At 46.7% G+C, this 15482-nt stretch overlaps 2 protein-coding genes across 5 annotated transcripts in view, besides 4 other annotated features; one reads left to right on the forward strand and one right to left on the reverse strand.

Annotated features, from left to right (window-relative positions):
• BRAP (BRCA1 associated protein) overlaps window positions 1-1852 on the reverse strand; it is a 43811-nt gene extending 41959 nt beyond the window's left edge. For 2 of the 3 annotated variants that reach the window (XM_017019992.2, NM_006768.5), the window contains exon 1: window positions 1607-1852. In XM_017019992.2, the coding sequence (XP_016875481.1) occupies window positions 1607-1688 (82 nt within the window). In that variant the 5' untranslated portion in view covers window positions 1689-1852. Of the gene's footprint in view, window positions 1-1483 lie in introns of all 3 variants that reach the window. The other variant, XM_005253944.5, reaches the window with a different exon arrangement.
• Window positions 175-876: an enhancer, noted in NCBI's record as "H3K4me1 hESC enhancer chr12:112122083-112122784 (GRCh37/hg19 assembly coordinates)". NCBI's record gives its function as "activates a minimal SCP1, AML or CMV promoter by ChIP-STARR-seq in naive H9 embryonic stem cells {active_cell/tissue: H9 hESC(naive)}" and the evidence as "EXISTENCE:reporter gene assay evidence [ECO:0000049][PMID:30033119]".
• Window positions 877-1578: an enhancer, noted in NCBI's record as "H3K27ac-H3K4me1 hESC enhancer chr12:112122785-112123486 (GRCh37/hg19 assembly coordinates)". NCBI's record gives its function as "activates a minimal SCP1, AML or CMV promoter by ChIP-STARR-seq in primed H9 embryonic stem cells {active_cell/tissue: H9 hESC(primed)}" and the evidence as "EXISTENCE:reporter gene assay evidence [ECO:0000049][PMID:30033119]".
• Window positions 1579-2280: an enhancer, noted in NCBI's record as "H3K27ac hESC enhancer chr12:112123487-112124188 (GRCh37/hg19 assembly coordinates)". NCBI's record gives its function as "activates a minimal SCP1, AML or CMV promoter by ChIP-STARR-seq in naive and primed H9 embryonic stem cells {active_cell/tissue: H9 hESC(naive and primed)}" and the evidence as "EXISTENCE:reporter gene assay evidence [ECO:0000049][PMID:30033119]".
• Window positions 1625-1724: a silencer, noted in NCBI's record as "silent region_4874". NCBI's record gives its function as "represses an Ori minimal core promoter by ATAC-STARR-seq in GM12878 lymphoblastoid cells {active_cell/tissue: GM12878}" and the evidence as "EXISTENCE:reporter gene assay evidence [ECO:0000049][PMID:35858748]".
• ACAD10 (acyl-CoA dehydrogenase family member 10) overlaps window positions 1949-15482 on the forward strand; it is a 71047-nt gene continuing 57513 nt past the window's right edge. For both annotated transcript variants that reach the window (NM_001136538.2, NM_025247.6), the window contains exons 1-2: window positions 1949-2135; window positions 8593-8792. In NM_001136538.2, coding sequence (NP_001130010.1) covers window positions 8606-8792 — 187 coding nt within the window. In that variant the 5' untranslated portion in view covers window positions 1949-2135; window positions 8593-8605. The remainder of the gene's footprint in view (window positions 2136-8592; window positions 8793-15482) is intronic.

Consider the following 15482-nt stretch of genomic DNA (forward strand, 5'->3'; position numbering starts at 1 on the left):
AAAGGGAAACGGAATTTGGAGACTTAACTGAAATATCCCTAATACATGCTCTGTCAGGGCAGGGACAAGGCCTGTTTTGCCCACCACTGTATTCCCAGCCCTTATACCACAGTGCCGAGCACACAGAGGAAGCCCTCTAAATGTTTGATGAATAAATGACTACATGACTGACCCATGCAGATGTCTATATGCGGCTAATATCAATTTAGCTGACTCTCAGAACTCAGAAGCCACTTTTAGCCTTTGGAAAGGTGCTCATAAGCTATAAAGTCATATTCAATCTTTAATTTGCAGCTTCAAAGGTCACGTCCTCAGGAAGTTCCCAATGACACCATCCCTACCTGCCCCCATCCCTCTCTCCAAACCAAACACATCTTCTTGTAATACTTTCCCAAATTGTTTCTCCTTTCCTTCACAGCACTTACCACAGTTGTAATTCTACACATATTCTGCACTTATTTAATTCATCTGTTTCCTCCATGATACTGCTGGTGCCATTAAAACAGAGACGCTGTCTGATTCAGCACACAAGGAAGGCTCCAGCAGATATGAGCATAAGTTTTTTTTTTGTTTTTTTTTTTGAAATGGACTTTATCTCTTGTCGCCCAGGCTGGAGTGCAGTGCCACAATCTTGGCTCACCGCAACCTCCACCTCCCGGGTTCAAGCGATTCTCCTGCCTCAGCCTCCCCAGTAGCTGGGATTACAGGCACCTGTCACCACGCCCAGCTAATTTTTGTATTTTTAGTACAGACAGGGTTTCACCATGTTGGCCAGGCTGGTCTTGAACTCTCAACCTCAGGTGACCCGCCCGCCTCGGCCTCCCAAAGTGTGAGGATTACAGGCGTGAGCCACCGCGCCCGGCCAAGTATTTCTTGAATGAATGTTAGTTAATTATCTGAGGACCAAGGAACAGAGCCAGAGCTGCATTCCCCACTAAGGAGCTTCCTCACTTGTGTTAATGGTGTAAAAAGCTCAGACTCAAGTCCAGCTCACTGAGTTAGAATCCCAGTTTCACCCATTACAGATAACCTTGGGCAAATCAATTAATCACTAAGCTTCAGTTTCCCAATGTGTAAGAGGTACATGTCACATCCATCTGCCTCTTAGGGCTGTTGCAAAGATAATTAAAGAATACAATACACAAAAGGTGCTTAGTACAGTGCTGGGATATAGGAAGTGTCCAAATTTTAGTTATGACTATGGTTAGGGGGCACTTCAATGGATATCGTTCCAAAAGGGAACAATTTAATTAACCCAGGGACCGTCCAGCGTTGCTGGGGACCCAGTCCCTGCCTTTACGAAGCCCATAGGGAAGCAAGTGAGACAAACACACCACTCGACTATCTCGAGAGGGAGACGCGCCAGGTATAAACTAAATGCCCTCAGACGGCACAGGGAGGGAGGTTCGGGGCAGGGCTTCCCTGAGATAACAAACGGGAAGGCCTCTCAAAGGCGGATGGGAAAGAGAGGGATCCCGATTACCTCTCCGTGTCTTCCTGGGCAACAGCCCTCGCCGCGGGCTTTTCCCGGGCCAGTGCTTTGGGAAGGGAAGCCCTCCGGGCCCAGACCCGGCTACAGGGAATGCGGCGAGGCCGCGGGACTCACCCGCGGCGCTGAAGCCGAAGCCGGCGGGGACAGGCGAGTGTTCCGCGAGCTCCAATCGGATAACAACCAGTGACACACTCATAGGGCAGGCGCTGGCCGGCGCGGGCCCCGGCGGGCTCAGGCGAGGCTGGAAGGCGAGCCGAGAGGCCGAGCGGCCCGGGGCCGGCAGCGCCGCCACCACCTCAATGCAGTTGCCGCCGCCTCAGCAGCAGCAGCTCCTCGAACAGCCCTCGGAGCCACAACAACCTCCACTTCCGCCTCCCGGCCGCCGTCGCTGACCTGCGGTTTACGCATGCGCGCAGGACCGCGCACAGCGATTGGGCGGCGTGGCAGGGGTCACCCACTGCTCTTCCGGACGCAATTTTGAGGAGGTCGGAGCGGAAGGACGTCGTGGAGATTGCTTGCGCTGGGGTGCCACACTTAGGCTGAGCTGCAGGTTTTCGCACAGTCGCGAGTTAACCTCTGCTTGCTCCAGAGGCCTCGTCCTAATCCACCTCGGCTGACGGCGCGGGATCCCTGGCTCCGCGAGGTCTCCGAATTGTCCGAGCTATCTGCTATGCAGAACTTTGCCCCTTTTGTTGTGTTTGACTCCTGTCTCTAACCCTAGTCTGGATGGTTTTGTTTCTGTCCCACTTTACAGATAGGTACAACGAGGCTCAGAGAGGTGAAGTTCCTTCTAAGGGGCCGTAGAGAGTGGAGAGTCGATCGCTGTTCAGATAGCGATCTGGCTGGGCGCGGTGGCTCACGCCTGTAATCCCAGCCCAGAGGCTTAGGCGGGCGAATCACCTCAGGTCAGCAGTTCGAGACCAACCTGGCCAACATGGTGAAACCTCGTCTCTACTGAACATACAAAAAATTAGCCGGGCTTGGTGGCGCGCGTCTGTAGTCCAAGCTACTTGGGAGGCTGAGACAGGAGAATCGCTTGAACCCGGGAGGCGGAGGTTGCAGTGAGTCGAGATAGTGCTAGTGCACTCCCGCCTGGGCAACAAGAGCGAAACTCCGTCTCAAAAAAAAGAGAGAAAAGATGGTGATCTGCTGGTTACGAGCATAGTGCTGCAGTTAGACCGGGGTCCTCCTCCCCACCCTGTCACTTCACAAATGTTTACTGAGAGTCTAGACACCCTTGGGATGCTTGAGATACGTTGGCGTATAAGATAAACACAGTTCCTGTCCGTACTATGAGGTTGACCTACATCAGCAGTTGTGCAGTCTTGAACTAGTATAGTCATTGCATAAAGTTGGCATGATATCATGTCCTCATGCAGTTGTGAGGATGAAATGGAATTATGTATATGGAGATAACATTAGCTTTTCTGAGGCTCAGCATTCTTTCCAGTATGTCAGAGTGGCTTTTGTATGTAGATACTGACACAATCAATGCATATGGGACACATACATGACAGGATGCTACTCTAGGTACATTGTATAATGATACATATGTAAGTACATAGTACATTCTAGATGTGTGTGTGTGTGGACATAGTGCGTTCTAGATGTGTGTGTATCTGGACTATGACATGACCACAAGATACATGCGTATATAGATCTTGTGACTACATCCTATGAAATACGTTTCCATATGCCCTGTTTAAATCAGGGTTTCTCAACTCTGCACTATTAACATTTTGGGTCCTGATTATTCTTTTTTGTTTTTGGCAAGGGGGCGGGGTGTCCTGAGCATTGTAGAGTGTTTAGAAACATCCCTGGCCTGACCCACTAGATGTCAGTAGCACCTCTCCCCAGGTGGTGACAACCAATAATGTCTCTGGACCTTTCCAGATGTCTCCTTGGGGTTAGAAAACATAACCCTGTTGAAGAATCACAGGGTTATGTGAAAGTGCATAAACCATACACACATACTGTATGCATAAAACCTATGAGACCTCTTGTGAACTTTTTTAGTATATTACTATAGTAGATAACATTTCAACATGTGCCAGGTACTAATTTGAGTGTTTCATATACCTTGTGTCATGCAATGGTCACAACAACTTTATGAAACTGGTACTATGTCCCTGTTCTACAGAGGAGTAACCTGAGGCTTGGAGGAAGAGTAACTGGCTCAGGATTTCACAGGTAGTAGTGGCAGAGCTGGAACTGAAATTCAGGCAATCTGAATCCAGAACGAACATTCTTTATCTCTTTACCAAACAAACCTTTTTTTTTTTTTGTATTTTGAGACGGAGTCTCACTCTGTCGCCCAGGCTGGAGTGCAGTGGTGCCATCTCGGCTCACTGCAACCTCGGCTTCCTGGGTTCAAGCTTCCTGCCTCAGTCTCCCAAGTAGCTGGGACTACAGGCACACAGCACTGCACCCAGCTGATTTTTGTATTTTTTTTTAGAGATAGGGTTTCACCATGTTGGTCAGACTTGTCTCGAACTCCTGACCTTGTGATCCGCCCACTTCGGCCTCCCAAAGTGCTGGGATGACAGGCGTGAGCCACCGCGCCCGGCCCCCCCAAAGGCATTTTTCGTCTCTACTAAGCCCTCACACAAAATATACAAGTGTGTAAGTAAATTTCTCTTTCTATCATAAACATTGGCCTTGGCATAGGAACGTTAAGTAAAACTGAAAATGCAAATGAACCTTGACATTTTTAGTTTCAAATATTGCCCCCAAATTCAGCAAATTTCCAATTACTGTCGTTGCATGGTGGTATCCTCAGCAGATGGGTGCAGGACCCCCTGCAGATGCCAAAATCTGTGGATGCTCAAGTTCCTGATATACAATGGTGTAGCATTTGTTTATAACCTATGTACACCCTCCTATATGCTTTAACCCATTTCCCATTTAGAAAAAAAAAGTACTTGACTTGGTGTGGTGGCTCACGCCTGCAATCCCAGCACTTTGGGAGGCCGAGGCCGGTGGATCACTTGAGGTCAGGAGTTCGAGACCAGCCTGGCCAACATGGTTAACACCCGTCTCCACTATAAAAATACAAAAAATTAGCTGGATGTGGTGGCGAGCGCCTGTAGTCTCAGCTACTCGGGAGGCTGAGGCAAGAGAATAGCTTGAACCTGGGAGGCGGTTGCAGTGAGCCGAGATCACACCATTGCACTCCAGCCTGGGCGACAGAGCAAGACTCCGTCTCAAAACAAAACAAAAAAAAGAAAGCAAAAAAAGTGCAGCTCGCTGCCAGCACAGTATTCTCAGGGCAAGCAAGATATGAGTTAAGTAATCCCTAGATTGCTTATAATACTGGCTGGGCACGATGGCTCACGCCTGTAATCCCAGCACTTAGGGAGGCCAAGGTGGGTGGATAATGAGGTCAAGAGATCGAGACCATTCTGGCCAACATGGTGAAATCCTGTCTCCAGTAAAAACACAAAAATTAGCCAGGCGTGGTGGCACGCACCTGTAATCCCAGCTACTCGGGAGGCTGAGGCAGGAGAATCGCTTGAACCCAGGAGGTGGAGGTTGCAGTGAGCTCTGATCATGCCACCGCATTCCAGCCTGGTGACAGAGGGAGACTCCATATCAAAAAATATATATATTTAATATATATATCAAATCATATCCATATCAAAATATATAAATATATATACATGCATATATATGTATGTATACCTAAAACAGTGTAAGTACTGTGTAAATAAATAGTTGTTAACCTGTATTTTTTGTTTGCATTTTTTATTGTTGTGTTGTTATTTTTGTTGGTTTTTGTTTGTTTTTGAGATGGAGTCTCACTCTATAACCCCGGCTGGAATGTGGAGTGCAGTGGTGCAATCTTGGTTCACTGCAACCTCCACTTCCCTGGTTCAAGTGATTCTCATGTCCCAGCCTCCCGAGTATCTGGGATTACAGGTGTGCGCCACCACGCCTGGCTAATTTTTTTTCTGTGTTTTTAGTAGAGACGGGGCTTCACAATGTTGACCAGGTTGGTCTCGAACTCTCGACCTCAGGTGATCCGCCTACATTAGCATCCCAAAGTTCTGGGATTACAGGCGTCAGTTACTGTGCCCTTACTGTGTGTGTTTGTTTTGTTTTGTTTTACTTCAAATATTTTCTTCTTTTTTTTTTTTTGAGATGGAGTCTCACTCTGTTGCCCAGGCTGGAGTCCAGTGGCACCATCTCGGCTCACTGCAAGCTCCGCCTCCCCAGTTCACACCATTCTCCTGCCTCAGCCTCTTGAGTAGCTGGGACTACAGGTGCCCACCACCACGCCCGGCTAATTTTTTGTATTTTTAGTAGAGATGGGGTTTCACCGTGTTAGCCAGGATGGTCTCAATCTCCTGACTTTGTGATCCGCCCGCCTCGGCCTCCCAGAGTGCTGGGATTACAGGCGTGAGCCACTGCACCCGGCCTTACTTCGAATATTTTCTATTGTAGTTGGCTGAATCTGCAGATGTGGAACTCACAAATACAGAGGGCTGACTATAGATGAGAAACACATTATATTCAAGATTTACCACTTAAGAGTCCTTTCTCTAGGTGCTTATAGAGGTTGAGTATCCCTTGTCCCAAATGTTTGGAACCAGAAGTAGTTCAGATTTTGGATTTTGATATATCTGCGTATATATAATGAGATATCTTGGGGTTGGGACCCAAGGCTAAACATGAAATTCACTTATATATATATGTTTCATATATATCTTATACACCTAGCCTGATGGTAATTTTATACAATATTTTAAATAATTTTGTGCATGAAACAAAGTTTGTGTTAAGTACTTACGTGTGGAATTTTTCATTGTGGCATCGTGTGGGGGCTCAAAAAGTTTTGGATTTTGGATCATTTCAGGTATCGGATATTTGGATTAGGGATGCTCAACCTCTACAGTTTTTTAGTCCTAGCTGGGCGCCGTGACTCACACCTGTAATTCCAGCACTTTGGGAGGCTGAGGTAGGTGAATCACCTGAGGTCAGGAGTTTGATACCAACCTGACCAACATGGCGAAACCCCATCTCTACTAAAAATACAAAAATTAGCCAGGTATGGTGGTGCGTACCTGTAGTACCTGCTACTCGGGAGGCTGAGGCAGGAGAATCACTTGAACCTGGGAGGCAGAGGTAGCAGTGAGCCAAATTCGTGCCACTACACTCCAGCCTGGGCAACAGAGTGAGACTCTCAAAAAAAAAAAAAAAAAAAGAGTTTCTGATTTTGGAGCATTTCAGATGTCAGATATTTGGATTGGGGATGCTCAAAGTATATAGTTTTGGAGTCCTTTTGGCCCCACTGAATGACTCCTGTAAACTCAGATGCTGTCTTACCAACCTGTTTTGCACTCTCCTGATTTTTAGTAAGCTTTTTAACTGTAGAAATCACATAAAAAGCTTAAAGATTTTCATGAAGAAAATAGAATTTGCCTTCATTATTTTGGTTTTTTTCCCCATCTTTTTATTTCAAGCTTATAGAAAAGTCAAAAGAAGTTACAGTGATCTCCCGTTATACCTTTCATCTAGACTCACTATTAATGTCTGGCCATGTTTGGTTTTCTCTATACACGAGTGTATATAGGTATGCATCTGTATACGTGTACATGTATGTATGTGTGTTGTGTGTGTCTTTTTTTTTCCTGAACCTTTTGAAAGTAAGTTTGAGGAACAGTTACCAGGCTGCTGCAGTGATCTGTAAGTGGAAATGATGGTGTTTTGTGGTGTGAGGGTGTCATCGTAAGTGCTAGGAGGAGGCGAGTACAGGACATCTTAGGTGCATACAGGAGAGACTCCTAATGAGTCTTTTCTGGTATCCCCAAGAGGCTTCATGAAGACAGTGACTGGTAAACTGCAACCCAAAGGACTGTTTGGAATTAGCCAGGCAACAGGTGGAACAGAGCATTGCAGAGGAGAACATGCGTTTGAGGAAACTGCATGTAGATGTGTATGTCCAGATCATCCCAGGTTGAGATGAAAAAATGGGGAGCTGCTGCAGAAAGGAATGAGATTTTTTTTTTTTTTTTTTTGAGATGGACTCTGGCTTTCTCACCCAGGCTGGAGTGCAGTGGCACAATCTTGGCTCACTGCAACCTCTGCCTCCCAAGTTCAAGCAATTCTCCTACCTCAGCCTCCCAAGTAGCTGGATTACAGGCACCCAACACCATGCCCAGGTTATTTTTGTGTTTTTGAGTAGAGATGGGGTTTCGCCATGTTGGCCAGGCTGGTTTCCCAACTCCTGACCTCAGGTGTTCTGCCCATCTCAGCCTCCCTAAGTGTTGAGATTACAGGCGTGTGCCACTGCGCCTGACGGGAGTAGATCTTTTAAGCCAGGCTTAGGAATTGAGATTTTATTTTAAGGGCAATGGGGAGCCATTGAAGGTGTTGTTTGTTTGTTTTTTGAGATGGAGTTTTGCTCTTGTTGCCCAGGCTGGAGTGCAATGGCACGATCTTGGCTCACTGCAACCTCTGCCTCCCGGGTTCAAGCGATTCTCCTGCCTCAGCCTCCTGAGTAGCTGGGATTACAGGCATGCGCCACCATGCCCGGCTAATTTTGTATTTTTAGTAGAGGTGGGGTTTCTCCATGTTGGTCAGGCTGGTCTCGAACTCGCAACCTCAGGTGATCCACCCGCCTTGGCCTCCCATAGTGGTGGGATTACAGGAGTGAGCCACCACACCTGGCCCAGATTTACAATTTTTAAAGAATACTCTGACTGGAGGGTGAAGAAAGAATTGGAGAGAGGTCTGAGAAGAGGCAAGGGGGCCAGTTAGGATCCATGGGCAAGATGGTGGCAGTGAGAATGCAAAGAGGTAGATGAGATTTTCAGGAGAAAGACTTGACAGCACAGAACTAGATAGGGCGAGGTGAGGTAGAGATTGCAGAAAGTCAGAGGCGAGTCCCAGCTTTCTAGCTTGGGCAGCCGAGTGGGCGATGGAGCCCTTGACTAAGTAGCCAGGGAGGGAGGAGACACTGAGGTCAGTTGTGGGTGTGATTCGAAGTGCCTGTTGGAGATGGGTTAGAGATGTCTGGCTGGCCCCTCTGAGCTCCAGGATGGAGGCCTGGTTGGGAGGCAGTGCAGGCAAGTAACGCCCTGTGCCTTCTTCCCACACAGCCTCAGCCTCACCATGTGTGTCAGGAGCTGTTTCCAGTCCCCCCGTCTCCAGTGGGTGTGGAGAACAGCCTTCCTGAAACACACCCAGCGCAGGCACCAGGGGTCCCACCGATGGACACACCTTGGAGGCAGCACCTACAGAGCGGTGATTTTCGACATGGGCGGAGTTCTCATTCCTTCTCCAGGGAGAGTCGCTGCAGGTGAGCTATTGATTCTGTTTCACTTTGTGGGACTAGAGTGGTGGTGGGAGAATGGAGGGTGATCGGGAAGGCAGAGGGGAACACTTGGGCAGCAGTGTGTCCCAGCAGGCCATGCTCTGGCTCTCGAGTCGAATTCCAAGCACCACTAGGGGGCTGAGTGTCTTGGGCGCATGATTCAGCTTCTCCAAATCTTACTTTCCTCATCATTAAATGAGCTAATGGTAGTGCCTTCCTCCTTGGGATTTGGCGGAGAGTTATCCGTGGGAAGCACTTGCTTAGCACAGTGATTGCTCAGTGCATCCTAAATTCTCAATCAATGATGAGCTGCCATGAATGCTGTGATTAGAATTTAACCACCAAGGCAGGGCACAGTGGCTGAAGCCTGTAATCCCAGCACTTTTGGAGGCCGAGGTGAGAGGGTCGTTTGAGCCCAGGAGTTCAAGACCAGCCTGAGCAACATAGTGAGACCCCGTATCTGCAGAAATTTAAAAATTATCTGGGCATGATGACAGGCACCTGTAGTTCTAGCTACTCAGGAGGCTGAGGTCGGAGGATCACATGAATCCAGGTGGTTGAGGCTGTAGTCAGCCGTGATCATGCCACTGCACTCCAGCCTGGGTAACAGAGCAAGACCCTTACTCAAAAACAAACAACCAAAAATCCCAAAGAATTTAACCACTTCTTCTTGGGAACTGTTCTACTTCTGAAATCTAGAATGCTGAAATTCCCCTTTTGATTACAGCCTTCCTCCCTTCTACCCCACTCCCTCTAAACCTGCTTCTGGACTGACAGGGTAAGGGTCAGCCCTCTGGTCTCTGGTCTTCTCTTTACCAGCCCCTTCCTGGTTTTACTTCTTTTCTACTCAGTTCAGTTTTTATTAGTTAAAGTCGTTTTGGCTTCAAGCAGTAGAAAACCTAACAAAACAGTGACTGAAACAAGCTAGAAGTTTCTTTCTCTTGCACATAAAAGCCCAGGTATGTGGTCTGGGGCACTGTGTGATGCGACTCTGTGGTATCAGGGACTCCGACTCTTTATAGCATGTTGCTCTGCTGTGACTTTTCATTTCCACTCTTACATTGTGGTCTGTCTTGGCTGTGTCGCCTCCTGCTATCATATTCTCATGCCAGCCAGCAGGAAGGACAAAGGGCCAGGCAGCCATCCCTCTCCTTTTGACCTTCTGTGGTGGCTGGTTGGCCAGTTCTCCATCCTAAATCAACCCAGGCACAGGTTTTCTATGCCTGCGTGTCTAGGCTTTCCAGCACTGCTGACCAAATTACTCAGCCGTGCTAACTGGCTGCACAAGCTGGTTTCTGAGCTCCAGCCTCAGTTGGGCCATTGGTGCTACGCCTGAGCCTCTCTGTTCCTTCACTCTTATCTCTCTGTTCCTTCACTCGTATCTCTGTCATGTTTACCTCAGGGGCTGTTCCAGACTGTCCACTCCCCCTGCTCCTTACCACCCCCAAATATTCTTGCTCTGCAGATAGCTGAATCTGTTCTTCTACAAAGAACATAAAGACTAAACCTGAGCAACACAGTGAGACCCTATGGTGAGCTAGGATTGCACCACTGCACCCCAGACTGGCACAACAGTCTTTTTTAGAGAACCTGTCTCTAAAAAAAAAGGCAGCAGGGAAGAACATAAAGATCACTGGACAGAAAGTTTCTTGACTTTCTCTAGAATATCTTAAGAACCAATTCACTTCTCTCCATTGCCACTGCCTCCACCCTTGCCTTCTCTCACCCAAATGATGTCATCAGCCTCCTAACTTCCTCTGCCTCTGGCTCTCTGGATTTTACAAAATCTCCTCCCAGCTCCAGAATTAACCTTTCTAAAACATGGATCGTGCTTCTGCGCTTAGCAGCTCACACCTGTAATCTCAGCAATTTAGGAGGCCGAGGTGGGCAGATCGCTTGAGCACAGGAGTTCAAGACCAGCCTGGCCAACCTGGTGAAACCTTGTCTCTACGAAAAATACAAAAAGCGTACCTGGGCATGGTGGTGCATGGATGTAGTCCCAGCTACTTGAGGGGCTGCGGTGGGAGGAACTCTTTAGCCTGGGCGATTGAGGCTGCAGTGAGCTGAGATTGCACCACTGCACTCCAGCCTGGGTGACAAAGTGAGACCCTGTCACAAAATAATAAATAAAATAAAAATAAAGCATAGATCTTGTTCCTTTCATCCCTGGCTTGAAAATCTTGAATGCCTGCATGTGGTCCCCTAGATTAAGTCTAGAAGCTTTCACCTGGGATTCAGGGCTCCTCTCAGTTTTAGCTTTCCTGCTATGGACTACCTGATGCTCCCCAGGCATGCCAGGCACATTTGCATGTTTGTGCCTTTGCAAGCTGTGTTTCCTCCCTGCCTCCTCTGCCTGTTCAAATCCTACTGATGCTTTTAATGGCAAATTTAAGGGGATATTATTCAGCAATGACTGGAATCTTTTGAACACTCAGTAAATCTCATGGTTGTTACTAACTTCAAGAGTCCTCTTCTGTCAAGACTTCTCCAACCTCATTTGCAACCTGGGCAGAATGTTCCTGGATAGCCAATTCCCATTAAGTTTCACCTTCACCGAGATATTTTTGTTTGCAGTGGGATATGTTCATGTCTCCTCTATGGGGCTCTTGGATTCCAGGACCCCAGGTCTGGGATTTCTTCACTTCACTGTTGCAGTGTTAGCTCTGCAGGCTGGCTCAGTCATTCAGGAAATGTTTGATGGGTAAATGTGAACAAAATAGTGATGCCTTCTACTTTGTCTTTTGCTTGACTGGAGCTTCTAATGTTATTTATTTCAAATGAACCATATCAAGGGTCATTTGATAAGAATATACTAGAATTGGCCAGGTGCGGTGGCTCATGCCTTTAATCTCAGCACTTTGGGAGGACGAGATGGGCGGATCACTTGAGGTCATGAGTTTGAGACCAGCCTGGCCAACATGGCAAAATCCAATCTCTACTAAAAATTCAAAAATAAGCGGGGCATGGTGATGGGCACCTGAAATTGCAGCTACTCTGGAGGCTGAGCAGGGAGAACCACTTGAACCCGGGAAACAGAGGTTGCAGTGAGCTGAGATCATACCATTGCGCTGCAGCTTGGGAGACAGAGCAAGACTCTGTCTCAAAAAAAAAAAAAGTATATATATATATACACTAGAATTACTGTACTATACTATTTTTTTTTTTCTTGAGATGGGATCGCGCTCTGTTTCTTAGGCTGGAGTGCAGTGGTACAATCATGGCTCACTGCAGCCTGAAACTCCTGGGCTCAAGCAATCCTGCCTCAGGCTCCCAAGTAGCTGGGACTACAGGTGTTTGCCACTATGCCTAATTTTTGTTTTTTATAGAGATGGGGTCTTGCTATGTTTCTCAAGCTAGTGTCGAACTCCCGGGCTCAAGTGATCCTCCTGCCTTGGCCTCTTGAGTCATTGGAATTACAGGTGTGAGTTACCATGCCTCACCTGCTGTCTGTTTTTGTATGGCCTGTCAGCCAAGAATGACTTTTATGTTTTGAAATACGTAATTGAAAAATATCAAAACAAGAATAATATTTTGTGACATGTGAAAATTATGTGAAGTTCATATTTCAATGTCCATAAAAATGAAATTTTTTAGAAAACCATCTTGCCCATTTGTTTACATATTGTCCATGACTGCTTTTACCCTGTACTGGCAGAGTTGAGTAATTTCAACAGGGTCCGTAATGCTTTCAAAGCCTAAAATATTTACCATCTGGCCCTTTTCAGAAAAGCTTGATTTAAGCTGTTAGTTTACTATAAAATTAGTACGCACAACAAAGAATTCAAAGTATAGCCCAAACATTTTAGTTTTTTTATTTTTTATTTTACTTTATTTTTCTCCAAGAATGCATTTTCAGACCAAAGCTCAAACACTTTAAGATTGAATTTAGGCCGGGCACAGTAGCTCACGCCTGTAATCCCAGCAGTTTGGGAGGCCAAGGCAGGTGGATCACGAGGTCAGGAGATTGAAACCATCTTGGCTAACGTGGTGAAACCCCGTCTCTACTAAAAATACAAAAAATTAGCCAGGCGTGGTGGCAGGTGCCTGTGGTCCCAGCTACTTGGGAGGCTGAGGCAGGAGAATGGCGTGCACCCAGGAGGCAGAGCTTGCAGTGAGCCTAGATGGCACCACTGCACTCCAACCTGGGCGATACAGCGAGACTCCGTCTCAAAAAAAAAAAAAAATTGGGCATGGTAGTCCATGCCTGTAATCCCAGATACTCGGGAGACTGAGGCAGGAGAATTGCTGGAACTCGGGAGGCAGAGGTTGCAGTGAGCCAAGATAGCACCACTGCACTCCAGCCTGGGTGACAGATCAAGACTCCGTCTTGGGAGAAAAAAAAAATTGAATTCAGAGGGTATAATGATTTCGAAACTTCAAAATGTTTGACTTTAAAATTTTTGTTAGTGTGATAGATGAAAATTCCATCTTTGTGGTTTCTTTTCTTTTCCTTTTTTTTTTTTTTTTGAGACAGAGCATCATTCCATTGCCCAGGCTAAAGTGCAGTGGCGTGATCTTGGCTCACTGCAACCTCCATCTCCCGGGTTCAAGCAATTCTCGTGCCTCAGCCTCCCAAGTAGCTGGTATTACAGGTGTGTGCCACCATGCTTGGCTAATTTTTGTATTTTCAGTAGAGACAGGGTTTCGCCATGTTGACCAGGTTGGTCTCTCTCTTTTTTTTTTTTTTTTTTGAGACAGAGTCTTGCTCTGTCGCCCAGGTTGGAGTACAGTGATGCTATCTCAGCTCACTGCAAACTTCGCCTCCCGGGTTCACACCATTCTCCTGCCTCAGCCTCCCGAAGTAGCTGGGACTGCAGGCATCCACCACCACGCCCTGCTAATTTTTTGTATTTTTATTAGAGACAGGTTTCACTGTGTTAGCCAGGATGATCTCAATCTCCTGATCTGGTGGTCCGCCCGCCTTGGCCTCCCAAAGTGCTGGGATTATAGGTGTAAGCCACTGGGCCTGGCCTTTTTTTTCCTGTTATTTTAATGTTCATTTGCCTGATTGCAACTGAGGTTGCGCCTTTTTTTTTTTTTTTTGAGTCGGAGTCTCACATTTGCCTGATTGCAACTGAGGTTGCGCCCTTTTTTTTTTTTTGAGTCGGAGTCTCACTCTGTCACCCAGGCTAGAGTGCAGTGCTGTGATCTCGGCTCACTGTAACCTCTGTCTCCCTGGTTCAAGCTATTCTCCTTCCTCAGCCTCTCGAGTAGCTGGGACTACAGGTGTGCACCACCACACCTAGCTAATTTTTTATATGTTTTTAGTAGAGATGGGGTTTCACCATGTTGGCCAGGCTGGTCTTGAACTCCTGACCTGAAGTGACTTGCCTGCCTCAGGGTTCCAAAGTGCTGGGATTATAGGCACAAGCCACTGCATCTGGCCTTTTTTTTTTTTTTTTTCAGAGAGCATCTTGCTGTATGGCCCAGGCTGTCAGGCTGGTCTCGAACTCCTAGTCTAAAGTGATTCTCCCGCCTCCTGAGTAGTGAGCCTTTTTTTTTTTTTTTAATATTATTGGTCATTCAGTTTTTCCGTGAATTGCTCACTTTTCTTGTTGATTTTCAGTAAACCTTTTTTTTTTTGAGACAGACTTTTGCTCTTGTTGCCCAAGCTGGAATGTAATGGTGCAATCTTGGCTCACCACAACTTCTGCCTCCCAGGTTCAAGCGATTCTCCTGCCTCAGCCTCCTGAGTAGCTGGGATTACAGGCATGCACCACCACCCCTGGCTAATTTTGTATTTTTAGTAGAGACGGAGTTTCTCCACGTTGGTCAGGCTGCTCTCGAACTCCCTACCTTAGGTGATTGCCCGCCTTGGCCTCCCAAAATGCTGGGATTACAGGCATGAGCCACTGCGCCCGGCCGGTCATAACCGTTTATCTGTTACATGATTTGCAAATATTTTCTCCCTTTTATGCCTTGTCTTTTGATTTTATTGATAATGCTTTTAGCTGTACCAAAGTTTTCTTTTTCTTCCTTTCTTTTTGAAACGGAATTTTACTCTGCCACTCAGGCTAAAGTGCAGTGGAGTGACCTCGGCTCACTGCAACCTCTGCCTCCCAGGCTCAAGCTATCCTCCCACCTCAGCCTCACAGGTAGCTGCACTATAGGCTCGCACCACCACACCTGGCTAATTTTTGTATTTTTTGTAGAGATGGGTTTTCACCATGTTGCCCAGGCTGGCCTTGAACTTGGGAGCATAAACAATCTGCCCACCTCTGCCTCTGCCTCCCAAAGTGCTGGGATTTTAGCCATGAGTCACCACGCCCAGCCTTCTATATTATTTTCTAAGTTTTAGAATTTTGTTTTTCTGACTTGGATATTTACTGTATTGGGAATTTGTTTTGTGATGGCCTGAAAGATGATTTAACTTAATTTCTATTCCATATTGAAACCTAGTTATGCCAACCCCATTTATTGAATAGTCACTGCTAAAAGAGCATAAAATACAGATAAAATTTCCTGCTGCCACCTCGACCCTTTCCCAGTTGGTTCCAGACTTAAGTGGTTATCATTGTGAAAAGTTTCTTGTTTATTTTTGAAAAATTGCCCGTGTGTGTTGGGGGTGGGTGTGGGGGGCATATACAAATTGGATCATATGCTGTAGACTGTTCCATAGCTTTTTTTTGACTCAGTATGATATTTTGCCATCTTTTTCATATCAGTTGGCATATG

The sequence above is a fragment of the Homo sapiens genome, chromosome 12 (genome assembly GCF_000001405.40).
Source record: "Homo sapiens chromosome 12, GRCh38.p14 Primary Assembly".
Classification (NCBI taxonomy): Eukaryota; Metazoa; Chordata; class Mammalia; order Primates; family Hominidae; genus Homo; species Homo sapiens.